Genomic DNA, 19,470 nt, shown 5'->3' with positions numbered 1-19,470 from the left:
AGAGGAGACGCCAGGATTTGATGGCGGGCCTGAAGCCCCTAGGACCCTTGGGTGGCCCCTCCGTTTTCAGTGACAAACTCTGAGACTGGACGTGAGAAGGCCTGGCCTGCTGCAAACAAGACTGGAGCATGCAGCTGAATCAGTACTGATTGACATACTTATTCCTAGGGTACTAATGAACACTAGCCAGTCAGACCTCTGGGCAATCCCCAGCCCTGACACCTTGTCTGTAATACCCACAGTCCCTGTCTCTCCCTATACTCTCTACTGGAATGCTACCTGCTTGGCATCAGGAGCAGGGGCCTGGGCCCGCTTCCCAGCACCCTGGCTCCTGGAGTCAAGCTGCCCCTCAGCTCCTGTCCCTGCTCAGCCTATGACATGGCTCAGAGGCTAGGGGCTGGAATGGTACTGGGGAGGGGAGCCTGAGTCATCTCCAGGCCAGGAAGCACAATGTTTGGCAGGGTTCCTGGGCCCAGCTAAGGAAGGAGCAGGAGCATTGAGTTACAGAGCCACCTTAGGCCAGGGAAGAGGTGGTGAGGAAGGGGGTGTTGGTTGAGTCCATGGAGATGGGAAACTAACAGCAAACCAGGGTCCACAGGCTCTAGGCAGGGGGAAGGACCCAGGCAGCCTCAGGGCACCTGGGTGGGGGAGGGGAACACAGAGATGCCAGTAGGACCTTTATTCTCTCCAGTCTTCCTTCCCAAGCCAGCACCCCCTCGCCCCCACTCCTGTCCCAGCCAAGGCCCTCTCTCCCTGCAGAGCTGTGTGACAGCTGGGACAGTTCCAGAGAAGGGAACCCCCTCGACCCCACAGGGGGAGGGCGCCACCTCCCGCCGCCTCCCTCTACCTCTTCCTGTCACGTCTTTGGCCACCAGTGTTTCAAAATATACTGGCTCTTGGCTGGCTGTTTACTTAGGAATCAAAAACATCAAGTTTCAAATTCATTCCCACAGCTTTAGCTCTCACCTCTCGGCAGACCATTCCCGTCTAAACTGCTCTCCTGAGCTCCAGGCCCACAGAGTTGACAGCCTACTCGATCTGTCCTCCACAGGGGTAACCCTCAGATACTTCTAGCTCAACAGGGCCTAAACTAAAACTCCTCTCTCCCTCACCCATCCACGACCCATGAAAAAAAATTCCAACCTCTGTCTCTAGGAGGTATGTCACCATTCTTCAGCTGGGCATCATTCTTGGTTTCCTCCCTCCCTCCCTTCCGTCCTTCCTCCCTCCTTTCCTCCTGCCTTCCTGCCTGCCTTCCACATTTACTGAGCATGTGCCAGGCACTGTGCGAGGAAGTGGAGGTTGGCAATGAGAAAGTCAGTTGTGATCCCTGCCCTCCTTCAGCTTACAGTTTGGTCAGAAGAATAAACAGAAAATCGCTGGGCAGGTTACTAAGGGCTGAGATGAGAGTAGTACAAGGGGCTGGGGGAGCCCATAAGAGAAGTATCTGATTCTGGCTTGGGGTGGGGATCATGGAACACCTCCCAGAAAGCTGACTGAGCCCCAGCATGTAGGGTCACTGAGTTAGGCTCAGGGTTCGGGGAGCGGGAGGGCTGGAGTATCCCAGGTAGAGAGAAGAGCAGATGCAAAGGCCAGAGGTAAGGGGCCGGTGGGGGGTGAGGTGTCTTGCAGCGATCAGTGGAGCAACTGAAAGAAGTCACAGTAAAGAGAGAGAGCTGAAGCTAAGAATTGGGAGGTAGAGGTCATGCCCGGTTGGAGATGAGGCAGAAGAAATACCTAGGCACCAGAGCACCCGGGCCTTGTAGGTCATTGGAAGGGGTTTAACCTTTATCCAAAGACTGTCAGGAGCCATTCGAATGTTTTAAGCAAATGAAACTCTGACGTGAGTTTCCAAATTGCAGTCTTCTTCACCCTGCCTTTCAAATTGTCTAGCTCCACAGTGACTCTCCACCACTTACTATGCCTTCTTTCACCAATCTCGTGGGCTCAGACCATTGCACAGCCTCCAGATGGTCCCTCATCTTCAGGTCATGGACCCACCCATGCCCCAAGCCAGCCTCCAATCAAGAAGGGAGCTAATGTTGTATATGTACACATACAGATCCAATCACATCCTATCACTTATCCCACTTCAAGTACAGCCATAGCTCCCCCATGACTTTTGGAATAAAGTCTCATTTCTCAGCCAGGTGAACACACAGATCTTCCCCTCTCTGGCCTCAGCACCAGGTCTGGTCTACTCACTCTGGGTGCTCTATCCACAAGGCCCGGTGCAGCATGTCCCAGATGCAATGCAGCTCTGGGCATTCATCCTCTTGCTGATTTTCTCTTCTTTGATTTCTCCCTCATGCTTCAGGGTCTGACTCTAATGTTACCCACGTGCTATTTCCCAACCCCCTTCCTTTCCCTTCACCAAGTCAGGTGCTCTCTGGAGCTTGCCTGTAATTTAATGTACTGCCCACCCCCCAACCCTGCCAGGGATAACTATGCCATGTGAATCTGCCTCTCAGCTTCATTCCGCTTCTGCCTCTGCTCTGTCCCTCTGGCAACAGCTTGAATCCACCTTGATGCCCAGATCTGGCCTAGCCTACCTGCTTCCTTGCAGCTTTACCATCAGACTCTGGCCAAGCTGTGGCCTCTCCAGTCTTCACTCCCAGCAGCCCCTGGGCTTAGGAAGTCTTCGTGTTCAGAGAATCCCATCAAAATCTGACCTTGCTTTCTCAGGCCTCCCCTCCTCCCAGCACTCACTAGCTGAGCAGTGCCGAATGGAATTTCCTTACCTGTGATCGGGGCTTGCCTAGCCCAGGAGAGAAGCAGAGGCTGGTGTGGGGCTCTCCATGGAGGGTCAGGCCCGCACTCTGGAATGGAATCCCAGCTCCATCTTGGCGAGGGGACAGGGGAGCCAGGCTGGGTCTGCTTCTGAGGAGTTGCTATTTTAGAGGGACAGATAAAGTTTGTCCCATGGTGAAGAAATCAACCTTCCCCTCACATGCCCAATACCTTCCTTTTCCTGGCCTGGGAGCCTGCTTGAGTTCAGGGGTTGATTGGATTTAAGCGATACAGAGAGCTCCGGACATTCATACATGTTCCCCAAACTAGGGCCAGCTCAGGAAGCCAGGGGCTCCCTCTGCTCCTCCTCAACATCCATGCTGCTGAGCCCCTCTCTCTGCATCAGCTTGGGGCCTCTGGGCTGCTTCCAGGAAGCAGGGTGCTTCTGTATAGCCCAGTTTGAAAAGGAGAGGAGCGGGAGAGATAGCTTGATATGGATTTTTGTGGTTGGAGGTGATTGGAATCCCAGCTGTGTTCCCCAGTCCCCTCCCTCCTCCTCCAACAGTACCCCTCCTCCTTCAGAGATGGGCAAGGGAAAGGAAGGGGAGAGAAGGGCTCTTCTCCCCTCTCAGTGTTCAGAGATACCCCACACGCATAGCAGCCAGATTTGCTGAAATGACCCAGGGCCTGACAGTGGGGCCAAATATTTCAGGCAAAGACCATCCTGGGTGATTTGGGGATATCTGCAGGGTCTGTCCTTATAAACTTCCCCCAGAGAGGAGGTTCTCAACCCTGGCTTCACATTAGAATCACCTGGGGAGATTATAAAATGCTGATGCCTAGGCCCCAGTCCCAGAGGTTCTGTTCTAATTGGTCTAGGCAAGAGCCCAAGTGTTGGTGAGTTTCTTTCTTTCTTTTTTTCCTTTTTTTCTTTTTGAGATGGAGTCTCGCTCTGTCGCCCAGGCTGGAGTGCAGTGGCTCAATCTCGGCTCACTGCAAGCTCCGCCTCCCAGGTTCACGCCATTCTCCTGCCTCAGCCTCCCGAGTAGCTGGGACTACAGGCACCCATCACCACACCCGGCTAATTTTTTTGTATTTTTAGTAGAGACGGGGTTTCACCATGTTAGCCAGGATGGTCTTGATCTCCTGACCTCATGGTCCGCCTGCCTCGGCCTCCCAAAGTGCAGGGATTACAGGCGTGAGCCACCATGCCCGGCCATGTTGGTGAGTTTCAAAAACTCATCCAGTGTTTTTAATATGCATGCAGGTCTGAGGGCCCTCACTTTATAGCAGGATTTCCCAGCCTCAGCACTATTGACATTTTAGGCCAGATCATTTTGGCTGTGTGAGGCTGTAGGATTTTTAGCAGCAACCCTGGCCTCTACCCACCAGATGCCTCTAGCAGCTACCTCTCTCCTGTCCCCAATATGTGACAAGCAAAAATGTCTCCAAGAATTGTCAAATGTCCCCTGGGGTGCAAAATCAGTTCTGATTGAGAACCACTGCCTTAGTGTTAGGGACAGCCTTGAGGTGACTGAAAGTCCCTTCAGAGCAGCTTCACTGTCCTGCCTTCCTCTCTGGCCTAGTCCTCTGGGCAGTCAGTCAGCTTGCTCTCTGGGCCTGGCCCTGCTCTAGGGAAGGCTGGGAGCACACAAGCAATCTGACCTCACTCTTGTCTCTAGGGACACAGAACTGAGAAATCAAAGGTCAGAGCATACTTGGGGATCCAGGAATTCTGGGTCTAATCGGACTTACTCTGTGACCTTGTATATTTCACCCACTATTTGACAACTGTTTTTGACCACCTATCAACCACCAGCCATTGTGTTGGGTGCTGAGGGTTCAGCAATGAACTGACAGACACTGTCCCTGCCCTTGTGGGGCAGAGGGTCAGCAATCTTTTCTGTTAAAGGCCAGATAATAATTATTTGGGGCTTTACAGTCTCTGCCACAATTACTCAACTCTGCCATTGTAGCATGATAGCAGTCATAGACAACATGTAAATGAATAGACATGACTATGTTCCAATAAAACTTTATTTACAAAAACAGGCAGTGGGCCAGATTTGGCCTGCAGGCTGTAGTTTCCTGGCCCCTAGTTTAGTTGCAGGGGTTGGCAGGGTCAGGGTGGGTGGGGGGAGGGGGGCAAACAGGTGCTTAAGTATTTACAATCCATGATGAACCATGCTGTGATAGGAGCTTGACAGGGCAGCAGAGGAGAGTGGTAGAGGAGGATCAGAGCCTACAGAAGGGGCACCTAACCCAGACTGGAGGAGAGGATAAGTCTGGGAAGGCCTGTAGGAAGAGGTGGTACTGGAGCTGGGTCCCAAAAGACACATCAGGGGCTGGGCGTGGTGGCTCATGCCTGTAGTCCCAGCGATTTGGGAGGCCGAGGTGGAAGGATCCCTTGAGGCTGGGAGTTCAAGGCTAGCCTAGGCAACATAGCAAGACCCTAGCTCTTAAAAAAATAAAATAAAAATTAGCTGGGCATGGTGGTACACAACTGTAGTTCCAGCTACTAGGGAGGCTAAGGCAGGAGGATCACTTGAGCACAGAAGTTCAAGGTTACAGTGAGCTATAATCATGCCACTGTACTCTAGCCTGGGTGACAGAGCAAACTGTTTCCCACAAAAAAATAAAAAGAAAAGAAAAAAGAAAAAAAGGACACATCAGAGTAATCTATAATCTGAGGTCTGAAGGCTGAGGAGGAGGTGGCCATGTGAAGAGTGAAGAGAAAAGTATTCCAGGCAGAAGCTGCAGCCTGGGCAAAGCTCAGGAGCAGATGAGGCCTGGCACATTCCATACGGCAGGGAAGAGAAAACACAGGAGAGGAGGGGAGCAAGGGGAGCTCTTGCAGTGTCTCAACATTTATTCTCCACCTCTGAGAAGCCACTGGGGTTGCTGAGCATGGCAGTCATATTATCTGCTTTGACTTGTGAAACCTTCCCTCTGACTACCTTGTGGTAAATGGACTGGTGGCCATGAACAAGGGTGGAAGTAGGAGGAGAGGGAAGGAGGCAACCACAGGCAACAGATGATGAGACCTGGACCACGGTGGAGGCTGTGGAGCTGGAGAGAGAAGAGGGTGGACTCAGCATGCCTTGGAGGTAGAATGGGCAGGATTTGGCAATTGATTGGATGTGATGAGGACTGGGGAGAAAGAGGTGTAGAGGATGACTCCAGCATTCTGTTGAGGATGTGGTAGTGTGGCACAGGGAACACAAGGAAAAGAGCAGGAGCAGGTTTAAAGAGGGTAGCAGCTGACATTTAATTGGGACACATTGAACTGGAGATGAGTGTGAGTGGGGGAGGGCATGTGATGGGGATGACCTGGAGGCAATTAGAAATATTGTCCTTGGCCAGGCACAGGGGATCACACCTGTAATCCCAGCACTTTGGGAGGCTGAGTTGGGATGACTGCTTCAGCTCAGGAGTTCAAGAGCATCCTAGGCAACATGGCAAAACCCCATCTCTATAAAAAAAACACAAAAATTAGCTGGGTGTGTTGGTACATACCTCCCAGCTACTCAGGAGACTGCCGTGGGAAGATCACTTGAGCCGGGAGTTCCAAGCTACAATGAGCTATGATCTTGCCATTTCACTCCAGCCTGGGTGACAGAGTGAGACACAGTTTCCAAAAAAGGAAAGAAAGAAAGGAAATAAATACTATATTTTAAGGCCAAGATCAGAGAGATGAACTTCCCTCAGGAAAGAAAGGAGAAAGGGAGGGGGGAAGAGGGGAGAGGGTCTAGAGCTCCGAGGACCTCCAAGCAAAGAGATTGTGAAACAGTGGCCAGAAGGATAGGGAGAAACACAGAAGAATATTCAAGCTCTTTCCTCTCTCTGGCTCTCTCAGGTTTCTTCTCAGAGCACTGAGAAGGTCTGGCTCAACCACCTCCAAGATTCATCTTGTTCTGTGGACACAGCATCTAGTGACACAAGACAAGAGAGCACCAAAACTCTCTAGGAGCACAGGAAGTCCTTCAGCTTTCAGGAATCAGAAGAGGTGTCACAGCTCTGAAGAATAAGGACTTCCACAAGCCCAGGAGATGAGAAGGGGTGGAAGTTGGAGGGGCGGGACTGGGTGGAGTGGACATTCCAGGAGCTGGGTGAGGTAAAAACACGGAGGCAGGAAAATGCAGAGTGCTTTGGAAACCATGAGTAGTCTGTCTATTGCACTGGGGCTTAAGATGCTGGGGGTGGGATGGGGGAGGTGGGGTGATTATATAGAAGATTAAAGGGACAGTAGGTATGGTCTGATGGATTTGAAACCTGTGTCAGTACCACAGCTGCATGACCTAGAAGTCATGGCTGGATAGAGCCTCAGTTTCCTCATTTGCACCAACACTCATTCTCCCCTCTAGGGAGGGGAGCAAAGAAGAGCCTTTCAGGATGTGAAGTTGGCGTGTCTTCAATCCCTGTCTTCTAGAAAGATCCCATAGATGGGAAATACCAGGAACTTCCAGGTGGCAGCTGGAGCTGGCCAAGGAGTCACTCACAGGGACTCTGCCCCCTTCCTTTTTTCTATGCCAACTCTGCTTCCCAGTCAAGCGGAAGGAGCCAAGAGAAAAGGTACTCTGGACCAGGCTCCAGATGAGTCTGGTAGAGACTCCCCCAAGGCAATTCCCATTCTTACCCTTGCCAGCCACCTCCTGCCTCACTTGGGTAGCCTCAGAAAGAAGGGAAGGTATAAAGGAGCCATTCATTTCCTGGGTGAGTGCCATGGGCCTGACCTGGTGCTTTTCATAACATCCCCATTTTACAGATTAGAAAATGGCCAGGCAGCCAGAAAGCAGCAGAACCGGGACTAGAATCCAGGGCCCTCCAACTCCCAAGCTTATCCTTGCCCTTGTCACTCCAGCAACTGCATTGCCTCCAAAAATACCCCATCTGTGGCTGTGGGTCTAGAGAGGCCTCTGCTGGCTCCTTTGCTCAAGATGGCTTTTGGGTTCCCTTTATGATCCTTCTCCTCCTTCCCTTCATCTGTCCTGTCCATCCCTGGCATGTGCTCCTTCCAGCCAGCCCTGAAGACAGTGGCTATCCACTCCGCTGGGACTGAGACAGACGACTTTGGAATAATTGGAGTGTCCTTCCCATAACCTTGAGCTCTGGTAAGGCTGACTTCCCTTGTGGTGACTGGGGCTAATGACAGCTGAGTGGTAAAAGGACACACACACATACACACACACGAGCCACGTCAGAGTAGGCATGGCCAGGATACCCCAGCTGCCTGCCAGGGCAGCTGACTCCCCCTCCTCATGCAGACAGCTGGGAATCCCCCTGTCAAGTGACAGAGCTCAGCCACCACCCTACCCCCTCCTCAGCCAGCCAGGAACACCCCTGCCAACTGACGGGGCACAGTCATTTCCTAATGCCTCTGACAGATCCCCAGGTCATTCTTGCCAACGGGTGGGACACAGCCACCTCCTCCAGCCTCTGTCAGACACGAAGGGCCATAAACAACATTGGTGACTTGCACACAGAGCTGTGAGGGACACACAGGGCTCCCAGGAGTCATGGGAGTTTGCATATACAAAGATACCAGCCTCTCCGGGTCTTGGGCCCTGATGAACGCCAGTGCCACCAGGCCCCACACTGTGCCAAATGTAGCAGGCAAGGGGGAATGGGGGAAGCTACCTGATGTCTATGGAGAATCTGGATCCCTCCATGGCCCAGCAGACTCTTCCAATTCAGACTGCATTCAGGGTGCATTCACACGTGCACATATGCACATGCACACCCACAGGCCTTTGGCCCTCAGCTACCTCAACACACAAGTTGTGATGCCAACCCTTAGCAAGGCCCTGGAATAGGCACTGGGGTAACAGAAAGGAATCAGAAAAGCCTCGCCTTCACTGAGCTCACAGGCTAGTGGAAATCCTGTATATAGGTAATAAGCCAAATGGGACCCTAGGTCCAACTGCAAGAACTATTGTGTCTGGAAGGAGCAAGGTGATGTTCTGGCCCTCTGCAGCCTTTCCAAGACCCCACCTGGTGGAATTTGTCCAATTATGGGCCCCACACACGAAAGGATCACAGACCAGTCTCTGTGAGGACAGTTGGAGCTAAAAGGGCTCTTTGGCCTGGAGAAGGCTGAACTCTGAATTCAGACCTCTGAAGGGCTGTCACAGAGCAGGGGAGATGTGTGGCACAGAACAGAGGAGAAGAGTTAGGTAGCAGCCTTGAAGAAAGCCACAGGAAGACCAATTTCAGATGAAATTTCTAACAGACAGCTATCCTGAGATAAAACAGGATGTTATTGGAGGAAGGGAGCTTCCCATCACTGGAGGTATGCAAGCAGAGTGCATGTGTGCAGGGAGCTGTACAGGGGATTCAAGCACCAGTTGGGGGCCAGGACTCGATGGCCTTTAAGGGTACTTCCAACTCTGAGATTCCATGACTCTGGGATTCAAATCCAGCCTCTTCATGCTACAGATGAGGCCCAGAGAGGGGCAGGAACAGGCTAAAGGTCACACAAAGCGTTAGTAGTACTCAGAGGACTAGACCCAGGATTCCTCACTCCCCATCTTGGATCCTGCCACTCCTCAGACTGTCTCAGCCAGAACAAACCTCCTTGGCATATCCAGAAGCTCGCCTCCCCATCCCACATCCTGGGTGGCCTGACACCCGCGGTCTTCTTTCCCAGCCCCGGCCTGGGCTCAGCTGATGGATGAGCTCCTTGTTGGACTGCCTCTGGCTCTGTCTCTGGCTCCACAGATGGATGCTCTCAGGACTGCTGGCTGAAAGGAAATCCACATTTGACCTGGAGCCAGATGTGGAGCTAAGGGAAGTGGAGAAACAGGAGATCCAGGGCCTGGAGTGGGATACAGAGCCCGGGGGCCAGAGCTGTGACCCGCAGGCCTCACAAACCCCTCAATGCCTGGCCCGTAGTAGGTGTTCAATAGATTGTCGTTGAAGGAGAGAGGGAGGAAGGGAGGGAGCCTTCTTTGCAGCGGGGACATTGGAAGCTCCAGTGAGTGAAGCTAATGGCCCCAAAGACCCCAGTAGAAATTCAGAGACCCTGGACATGCGTCTTTGGGAATCTCTCCCATTCATCTGAGGCTTCCCTAAACCTCATCCCGCACACCTACCACCACCCTAGCCTTGCTTCCCTGAGAAGAATACCACAATGCAGCCTTTTCCCTCTACTCTCGTTCTGCCAAACTTAGAAGACTTCTGCCCTACTCATCAGAAATGGCAGGGTTAAAGTGATAAATGACTTCTGTGGAAGAGGTTATTCTCGTTGTCCTGAAGAATGCTGCAGAAAAAATCTACCCACGTATGTAACCCTTCACATTTCACAAATTATAAAATGGAGGTTTGGGGGTTTAGAGAGTGGAAAAGGTTGGCCCAAGGTGACCCAGTGACAGGACTAGAACACTGACCTCCAGTGTACAGATATTTCCACACCATCTCCTCTACATGTTCTGGTAACAAACCACTTGAGCTGTCTCCTGGGCCCTTTGCAGTTACAGATGAAGTGAGCATTATTACTTTCATTTTAAGAAAAAAGAAACCAAAGCCAAGCAACTCTCAGTGAGTCTCTAGCTATCTGTCCTTCACAACCAACAATACCACATGTGTTAGCTGGGGGAGAGGTGGTACTAGAGATGATGACTTAACTCAGAAAAGTGAACCTAATGCTAAACTTCCAGGCACCATTTCAGGCCCATGAGGGAGATATGTGGAACAGTCATTCCAAAACACCACTCTATGGATATGCTGTTTAAGAATCTTCTGAGGAATTAACAAGTGTGTGTGTGTGTACATGTGCACACATGCACATTTGTGTGTTCTTGAGCTCTATTCTAAAAGATTCTGATTGTATAGCCATTAAGTGGGCCCAGGAGTCATCCTTTTTGACAAGCATCTCCAGAGAACCTGCTGTGTAGCTAGGTGTGGAAGCAACCGGTTTAGGGTAGCCAGAGCCTTACAGTCTAAAGGCAGGGCCAGTCCCGATAGGAAAGCTCTCTGGAGGACACACGTTTGCATGGATTTAAACACCACTCCTGGTGATAATAACAGACAAAGGGTGTGTATGGATATTGGGTCACTAACAACCATTCATCACCACTGCCTCTTTTGTATCAGAACCCCAATTTTGTTCACCTGCCTCTGAACAGCCAGCACATGCGAGGCTGGACTATAGGGGCTGAATCTTGGTTAGTCTAAGTCAGTGGTTCATACCTCTGACTGCATATTGAACTCACTTGGAGAGCTTTGTAAAAATACTGGTAATCGGGACACATCTCTAGAGATTAAATTGGTCTGGGAGTGCATTCTGGGCATGGGTATTTTTAACCCCCTCCCCCCACCACCCTGTAGCCAGGGTGGAGAATACTGGTCTAAGTCAGTCATGATAACTCCAACCTCCTTGCCATGTGGTTTGATTCAACTTGGCATGCAACACCATTCTGGCCAATGAGAGGCATGGACAGGAAGCTGCTGGGATGTTTGGGGGAAGGCTGCCTTCTTCTTAAAACATGACACAAGGCAAAGTTGATACTTCTTCCAGTCTTTGGATTTTGTTGAATTACAGTGTGATACTTGGAGCTGCTGCAGCCACCTTATGACCATGAAGGAACAGACCTGAGGACAAAAGCCAAGAGTTGAGACTAGTGGAACAGAAAGATGAAAGAATTGGAGTCCTTGATGCTGAATAAACTAACATTGAAGAACCCTTCTTTAGGCCTTATTCTGTGGGATAATAAATGTGCTTATGGTTTAAGCCATTTTGAGTTGATTTTTCTTGTTACTTGCAGCCGAATGCTATTCCCATTAGATGGAAGAGGAAACTGAAGATCAGAGAGGTTAAGTTATAAACCAAGATCACAGAGCTAGTTAGTCACAGAGCTGAGATGATGGATACACCCTTTACCACCACCAGACACAAACATACATGCATACACACCAGCATAAAACCCTAGGTGGTATAGTGTAGTGAAAAAAGCATTGACCTATGAGAGGAAGCCTGGAGTGGAGGTATGGGGATATGAGGATAGAGGCCACTTAGCAGTGATTATCAGGTCAAGCGTCCTATGGGTGCCCCCTGCCTGCCAGCAGGGGGTGGCAGCTGGTGCCTGCTCTGGCTCCATCAGCCATTAATTAAAACTTGACAAGAAGATTAATACACAGGGGACAGTTTTAATTAGAGACCCCTGGAACATTAGTGCTGGCAAGGCCCTAAGAGACAATGTCTGCCAGCCTCCTTATTGTATAGATGGGGAAACCGAGGTCCAGAGAGGGGAAGGGACTGGTCTAAGTTTCCTCAGAGAGTCTGTGGCTCAGGAGTCTAGGTGCCCTGTGTGGCTCCCTAGCCAAGCCTCTTTCCTCTGCCCTGGGATGCCTCACAGATGGGACAGCTTTAATTAACTTATTATCCCATTCAATTTGTCACTGATTCCCAGGGCCCCAGCAAAGGCCTAAAGCTCCCTTTTGTGCAAACTCTGCCTGGCCCCAGGGGGCTGATGAGATAAGGGCAACCATTGAGGAGCCCAGGGCAGCTGAGTTTGACCACCTACTTCCCAGGGCTCAGCCCAGGCAGGGAGCTCTGAGCCTGGTAACAATCAGCCCAGAGACATTCTGCCTTTCCCTTTTTCACTAGAGGGGGTGGGACTATCACTAATCAGTTATTCCAAGCCCTCAGTTTACAAAGAGCTGTCCATTATCTCAACTGGACAGGTTGATATTCACATCAACCCTGGGCATTAGGGTTTTACTTCTCTTAAAAATACTTCTATCATTATTCTTTAAACTAAACATGTTTTGTGTAAGAAAAGTCCCATAAAGCCTAAGTGTATGTGGCTGAAAGTGAAGTTCTCTTCATCCCCTATACCACTCCCCAGCAGAAGCCATTAGTAACAGTTTGATTTCTAGCCTTCTAGATGCCCCCCAACACACACGCATACTTAGGTCTGTTGCATTTTCCCCTATTGTCATGATCTGCCCCACCTCAGAGGGAGCTTCAGGGCACAGCGGGGAGCAGGAGAGGAGAGGTCAGTGTGGGACCCTCCGTCTGCCCAAACCTCCTGGAGACTGACCTTGGTCTCAGGCAGTCATCCATAAAGTCAGGGGCCCAGCTAGTCCATATGGTGCCCCTCTAGGCAAAACATTTAGAAAAGGGTATCCTTTATAGAGCACAAATGCTGCTCACGTCCAGGGCACACATCTCAGCCTGAGGAGCAGGAGCAGCCTTCACATCCAAAACGTTCCCCATCTCTGCCCTCCTCTGTTGACCGCCACTGTCACTGCCTTCAACCAGGATACCACCATCCCTCCTGGGATTCCCGCTGCCCCAGCCTTCCCACCAGTGTCCCTGCCTCTCGTCTGCCCCTCTAAGCATCCCTCCTCGCCCCGCTGCCAGAGGATTGCTGTCACAGGCAAAGCAGATTATGTCCCTCCTAAGCTAAACCCCTCAATTACTTCCTCTTGCCTACGGGTTAAGGCCATGCTTCTTAAGGATGGCACTTAAGGACCTTCACATGTAGCTCTGCATCACAGGCTTGGGTGTGAATTGAGGCTCTGCCACTTACCAGCTGCATGACCTTGGGCAATCCGTTTACCTCCCCATGTCTCAATTTCCTTATCTGGAAAATGGGAACGCTTGTGGTAATAACACTATCTACCTCATTATGTTGTAGTGAGGAGTAAATGAGGTAATTCTGGTCAAAAAGCTTATGACAGTACCTACACACTAAGGCCCCAGTGACACAAGAGCAGTTGAGTCTAGGGCCCCAAAGGAGCCTCATCCTGAGCAGGCCAGAGCCCCAGCTCCACGCAAGTCAGAAACTGGAGCTGGAGTTGGGAGGGAGAGGGGGAGGGAAGGAGGGCACTGTGAGAGAGGCTGAACCTGGCCCTTGCTTCCGGGAGCTGAGAGGAAGATCTAGCCTTCACCAGGCAGCTCATGAAGGGAGTCCTGGAAGGGAAAAGGCTCCCGAGGCCCCTGCAGCCCCTGCACTGGGTCCTGGGGAGGGAAGGAAGCCGGAATGCTCCAGGGCTCCATGGGGGCTCCTGAGCCTCAGTTCTCTCGTCTGCAAAAAGAGGGTTTAAATTATTTCACAGAGTGGCTGTGACGATGAAGGGAATGATGCACAGAGACCCCCCAGTTCAATGCCTGGAACATCATAGGTGCTCAATAAACCCTTGGAGAAGGGAGAAAAAGGGAGGCTGCAGACATCCAGGCCAGAGCAAAGGGCCAAATGCTGCCAGCCTGCCTGTTTACCCCATGCTGGGGGGTTGACAAAGTGGGACACTTTCCAGGCACTACAGGAGTTCTACTGGCTTTCTGCTGAGCCAGGGCAGGACTGGGTCGGGGAAAAGGGGAGTTTGGCTGCCCCCCAGGCATTGGAAAGAGGGCAGCCATGCTCTTCACTCTCTGATCCTCAATCTCCTTATCTGTCAAGTGGCAACAGAACCACCAGGCCCACAGGTCTATTGTGAAACTGAAACAGGATAATGAACAGAAAAACACATCATACATATTGTGGGCAGTTACTGGTTTATCATCTACAGTATTAGAGCTGTGGTTCAGAGCACTGACTTTGGAGGAAAACTGATCTAGGTAAACTTCTGCTGGGTGCGGTGGCTTCAGCCTGTAATCCCAGCACTTAGGGAGGCAGAGGCAGGAGGATAGCTCAAGACCTTCCTGGGCAATATAGTAAGACCCTGTTCTCCACAAAAAGGGGGAAAAAAGACCAAAAAAAAAATCACTCCTGAGTCTCTCTTTCCTAAACAGGTAGACTTAGGCAAGTCACTTAATGTCCCTTAGTTTTAGTTTCTACATCTGTGAAATGGGGATTATAATTTCCCTACCTACTTCGCAGATTTAGGAAGAAATTCAATGAAAGCATTTCAATAAACTTCCCAGTCCATGTAAACATTTAATACGTAGCATTTTTAAAGATAGTACTATTCCTCAAGGAAAAAGCACCAGTCTTAAACTTCTGAACTCCTTCCCTCAACCCCACCATTTAGCCCAGGGTCTGCATACAACTGATACTCAATAAATCCTTGTAAGCTAAGAAATCCTATCTGGGCATGGTGGCGACCACCTGTAGTCCCAGCTACTCTGAAGGCTGAAGCAGTAGGATCGCTTGAGCAAGTTTGAGACCACGGTGAGTTATGATCACGCCAAGCTATGATATGCCACGACACACCAGCCTGGGCAACAGAGCAAGACAAATAAATAAATAAAAATAAATCCTTATGTCTCAGCAGCTTTATGGCATTATGGACTATTAAACCTGGAGGGACTGTTGGAGATCATTCATTCCAAGCACTTCATTATACAGATGGAAAAACTGAGGCTGAGAGAGCAGAAGGGACAGGCTCCAGATGAGACTCAGAAGTTCTGCAGCTAGACCTAAGACCAAGGCCTCTGGACTAGGCCTCTGGATCCTCTGCCCACCAAGGTAATTTCTGAATGGGAGAGATTTTCTCCAAGGTAGGGGGTCACTTGGTTATCACCTCCCCAGAACTCCACCACCAGCCCAGAGCCTACTCATTCTACTTCCTGGCCTTGCCCCAGGCCACACCTAGATGGCGGCCTATTCTTGACTCAGCCTACCCCCCCACTCGCAGCTCCTCAGCAGCCTAGGCCGGGTGGTCCGTAATTGCTTCCTATCCTCACAGGCTCTGTTTGTTTGCTCTGTGGCCGCTTCCTCACACCCCAGCACACCGGAGGCGCTGACCAGCAGTGTGGGACTCCTGGGGCCCAACCCCCAGCCTGCTCTCAGATGTTGAGCCAGCCCTCCCCAGACCCACCACCTGGAGCCCAGGAACCCAGCAAGGCCCTAGAGACACCCCCCAAGTCAGCACTTCCTCCAGCTTCCGCCTCCCACCCTCACCCCCCAGCAGCTGGTCCTGCCCCCAGCTGAGGGAGAAGCCAAAAGATCAACAGGTGGCAGTCCATAGTGAAGCCCTGGTAGGCCTTGGGCTAAAAGAGATGAAGCCCCCCTTCCCCTAGCCCACCCTCACTCCCATTCGCAGCCCAGTGGAACTTGGGCAGTAGGTCCAAATGACACTGCCTCATGTCAGGACTTTGAAACGGTTGGGGTTGGAATGTGTGTGGGGGAGGGGAGCGGGAGGGGGGATGGTTACTAAGTTTGTCCCTGAAGGTTTCAGGGACTAGTATAACAAAAAACAACAACAAAACCAATGCAGTGCAGTGAAACAACAGACCTTGGGTTCAAACTCACTGTGTGACATTAAAACAAGTTATTTACATTTTCTTGGCTTCCCTTTTCTCATCTGTAAAATAGGGCTAATACACCATAGCTGCCCCCCCTCCCCGCCCCACTATGGGTTATTGTGAGGTTGAAACCATCTGGTGCACACTGCCTGGTAGGTAGGGTGGGTAGGGAGGTCAGTAGGTAGGTAGGGTAACCAACTGTCCGGGTTTATCTGGGACTGAGGCTTTTCTCAGGATGCAGGACTTTCGGTGCTACAACTGGGACAGTCCTGAGCAAACTGGGATGAGTTGTTCACACTAGGAGTAGGTGTCAGAGGAATGTTTGTCCTGGAAGCAGTTTCCACTACCTACCATTGGCGACCCTCTCACATCTCCACACACCTCCATAGCCCCTGATGTTCCTCAGTCTGAAAGGCTCTTCCCACAAATCTGGCCCAGACTCTTCTTCAGGAAGCCTCCCGGACTTGCATCATTTGGCTCCTCCTTCTTCGTCCCCTTCCTCACACTTACATCCACAGTTTCCCCCACTATACCAGGCCTTCTGCCCCTCGGCCTCTCTGCCACTGGAGCCATCATCTGTCCTCTAAGCTCCCTGTACCTTCGTCTCACCTGATGCCCCCATCACACACCCACACATAAACCACCCCTTCTCCACTCTGTGTAGGCACACGGCCTCACTCACACCACCGCACATGTGCCGCACACCGTGCGCATCCCAGGCACGCCCAAGTTCTGTGTATCTGAACCTCAGGACAAGGATTTCGGTTTAAATAAAGAACCTTCCAACCGACAGTGGGATAAAGCCTCCAAATAGGGGGTAGGGGATAAGCTTTTCCTCAGGGGGTAAGGCTTGTAAGTATGGAATGATGGCAAAGGGCAGGGAGCTATCTGAGAGCAGAGAGACGGCTGCAATGATCTCTAACGGGTCCTTGCCTCCAATGCTTTGCTTCAAGGTCTTCTGGGTTGTTTCCCTTCCCAGAGACCCTGCCCTTGAGGTCTAGGCAGGCCAGGCCAGGAGAAACACAGGACTGAATTCCATTTAGTTGGTTCTGGGCTGCAGATACCAGAGGGAAGTGTGTGCTGCTGCTGCTGCTGCTGCTGCGGCTGCGGCTGCGGCTGCGGCGGCTGCGGCTGCGTGTGTGTGTGTGTGTGTGTGTGTGTGTGTGTGTGTGTGTGTCAGGGGAGATTGTTGGGGAGCGGGCGAGGCCAGGTGAGCAGCCCCTTGGGGCCTGTTCTTTTTTTCCAGCTGGGGAGACACCCCTGAGCTGACTGAGAGGGTCAGAAGGCAGGGACACAGGCATGGAGAAGACACTGCCCTCTCCCTGAGGCCCCTGCCCGCAGGCTCACACTGCCCCTCCTCAGCCCCTGAGGAAAGCGCCGTCAGCAGAATTCCTCACGTCCTGCTGCTGGGGCCATGTTTATCCAGCACAGCAAACCTCCGCAGAAGTGCCTTGGGGCAGCCTCAGAAACCCAGACTCAGAGCAGGCCAGAGAGCCCGAGTGAGGGAGACCCAAGGGACACAGAAAGCCGAGAGACTGGCGAGGAGACACAGAGAGTGGAGCTCGGAGATGGAGAGTGACAGAGCCTACGAGGGCACCCCTCTGGAGCAGCAAGACAGCAAGACGGAGACAGAGGGGAGGAGGCCGGCCTGGGAGGCTGAGATGGGAAACTAGACCACGGAGAAGAACGGGGCTGCACTTGAGATGATGACAAAACCAAGACAGAATGCCGCAGAAACAGAGCCGGGCCGAGAGAGGAAAGGAGTGGAAGGGAGAGAGAAATAAAGGGGTGGGGGGGCAGGAGGAGCGGTAGGGAGACCCAAGCAGGGATGGGGCCGGCAGAGGGCCGGGCTGGGGAGGAGGCCCGAGGCAGCAGGAGGAGCCGAGGGGCGGCTGCGGTGCCCGCTCCGTGCGCACACACAAGGCCCGCCCAGCCCGAGCCCGGTCTAGCCCGGCCTGGCCTGGGCTGTTTGCAGAAGGAAGCCAGCTCTGTGGTCAGGGCGCCCCAGGCCCGGCGGCAGCCGCCCCCTGCACTTAATGAGATTCTTGTTCCGAGCTGCGGGAGATGGGGCCGGGCTGCAGAGGCCCCGCAGCGCCTCTGCTCTCACCCGAAGGGGGCCTGGGCCAGGGCTGGGGCCCGGGCGGCTGAAGGGGCTACACAGGAAGGTGGCTGGACAAAGGCTGGCCACAGAGGCTGTCAGGCCTTGGGAACGCAGGGGGCTGGTTCTGACAGAGGAGCCTTGTGGCCCCGTGGCAGAGGTCTGGGGAGGAGGAGGATGGGGAAAGGGTCTGGGGTTGGCCAGCAGGCAGGAGGCCTGGGTTCAAATATTGGCTCTGTCCCCGACCTGGGCTGAGTGACCTTGGGCAAGTGCCCGCCTTTCTCTCTGGGCCTCAGTTTCCCCATTTGCCACATGAAGGGCAAACTCAGGCAGGTGGGGATCATGAAGAAGCAAAGAGCATGTGCCCTGGCTCAGGAGACAGCTGTCGCTCAGCTCCAGCTGTCGGTTGCCCTGCGAGAATGTGAGCTTGGTATTACTAGAAATTCAGATTTTTTTAGAAGTTATAAATCTGAATTTTTACATCAAACTCTGAATTTTAAGTGATGGCAGCTCATTTCTTATTAATGTAGGCACTGTGTGAGCCAAAGAAAACACTTTGAGGGTCTTAAGTGGCCCATAAGGTGCCTGTTTATGGCAGTCTCTAAGGCACACATCAGCTCTGACAATCACCACGTCTATATAACTCCACCACCATCCTGAGTTGGAATTCAACCCTCACCCAAATTTCATGCCCCTGAAGAATGGACAGAATGTACCCCCAGAAGGAGGCTGCTGTGCACTAGAATTGGGTGAGTGGGAACACATGGTCCAGGACCCAGGGTTTCTTGATGGCCTGTTGACTGACCAGTGATCCTGCTCCCACCCTGTCTTGCTTACAAAGCTCCCATCTAGCAGTGCCTCAGTCCTTCAAGGCCTTCCTTGGGAAATATATTCTGCCTGGGCCTTGACAAAGAGCCAGGCAGATACTATGCAAAGCCACAGCTGGTCTGTCACTTGTCCTTTAGCCCTGGCTGGAGAGAGGCAGTACCCCAGAGCCAAATCCACCAGTAGCCCTGTCCTTACTCTGGCAACTGTAACTCCAGGACCACCACCCTGGCATGGCAGGGAGGTGGGGAGGGGAGAAGAGGGGAAGAAGGAGGTGGAGCATCCTGGTATGTGCTGAGAATGGGCCTTCCCCAGACCTCTGCGTCTCCAACCCTCCCACCTCACAGCCCACGAAGCCCAGGCAAGCATGACAAGGGTTAATTGGATACCCCCAGCTGGAATCATAGAATCATAGGGCTGGAACGGACCTTAGAGGTCATCTGTCAGGGGGAGAGGAGAGATTTTAATTACCTAATTCAGTTGGGTTGGCAGGACCCCCAGCCCCCAGCCCCAGCCCAGGTTGTTTACTGAGGAGGAGGTTAGGCTAGGAAGGGCTAATGGGCTGGGAGCCTCTGAGGGGTAGGGTCTGGCCACATGAGTCACATTCCTGGCAGTGCCATCCCCACCC

At 52.2% G+C, this 19,470-nt stretch overlaps 3 annotated features.

Moving 5' to 3' along the window:
• Positions 347-550: a silencer, noted in NCBI's record as "fragment chrX:68149462-68149665 (GRCh37/hg19 assembly coordinates)". NCBI's record gives its function as "represses an EF-1alpha promoter that drives an FKBP-Casp9 reporter gene in an ReSE screen in HepG2 liver carcinoma cells {active_cell/tissue: HepG2}" and the evidence as "EXISTENCE:reporter gene assay evidence [ECO:0000049][PMID:32094911]".
• Positions 16,756-17,420: an enhancer, noted in NCBI's record as "H3K4me1 hESC enhancer chrX:68132592-68133256 (GRCh37/hg19 assembly coordinates)". NCBI's record gives its function as "activates a minimal SCP1, AML or CMV promoter by ChIP-STARR-seq in naive H9 embryonic stem cells {active_cell/tissue: H9 hESC(naive)}" and the evidence as "EXISTENCE:reporter gene assay evidence [ECO:0000049][PMID:30033119]".
• Positions 17,421-18,085: an enhancer, noted in NCBI's record as "H3K4me1 hESC enhancer chrX:68131927-68132591 (GRCh37/hg19 assembly coordinates)". NCBI's record gives its function as "activates a minimal SCP1, AML or CMV promoter by ChIP-STARR-seq in naive H9 embryonic stem cells {active_cell/tissue: H9 hESC(naive)}" and the evidence as "EXISTENCE:reporter gene assay evidence [ECO:0000049][PMID:30033119]".

Source organism: Homo sapiens, chromosome X, assembly GCF_000001405.40.
Source record: "Homo sapiens chromosome X, GRCh38.p14 Primary Assembly".
Taxonomy (NCBI): domain Eukaryota; kingdom Metazoa; phylum Chordata; class Mammalia; order Primates; family Hominidae; genus Homo; species Homo sapiens.
Note: the sequence above shows the minus strand (reverse complement) of the source record. Positions and strands in the feature narration are given on the sequence as shown.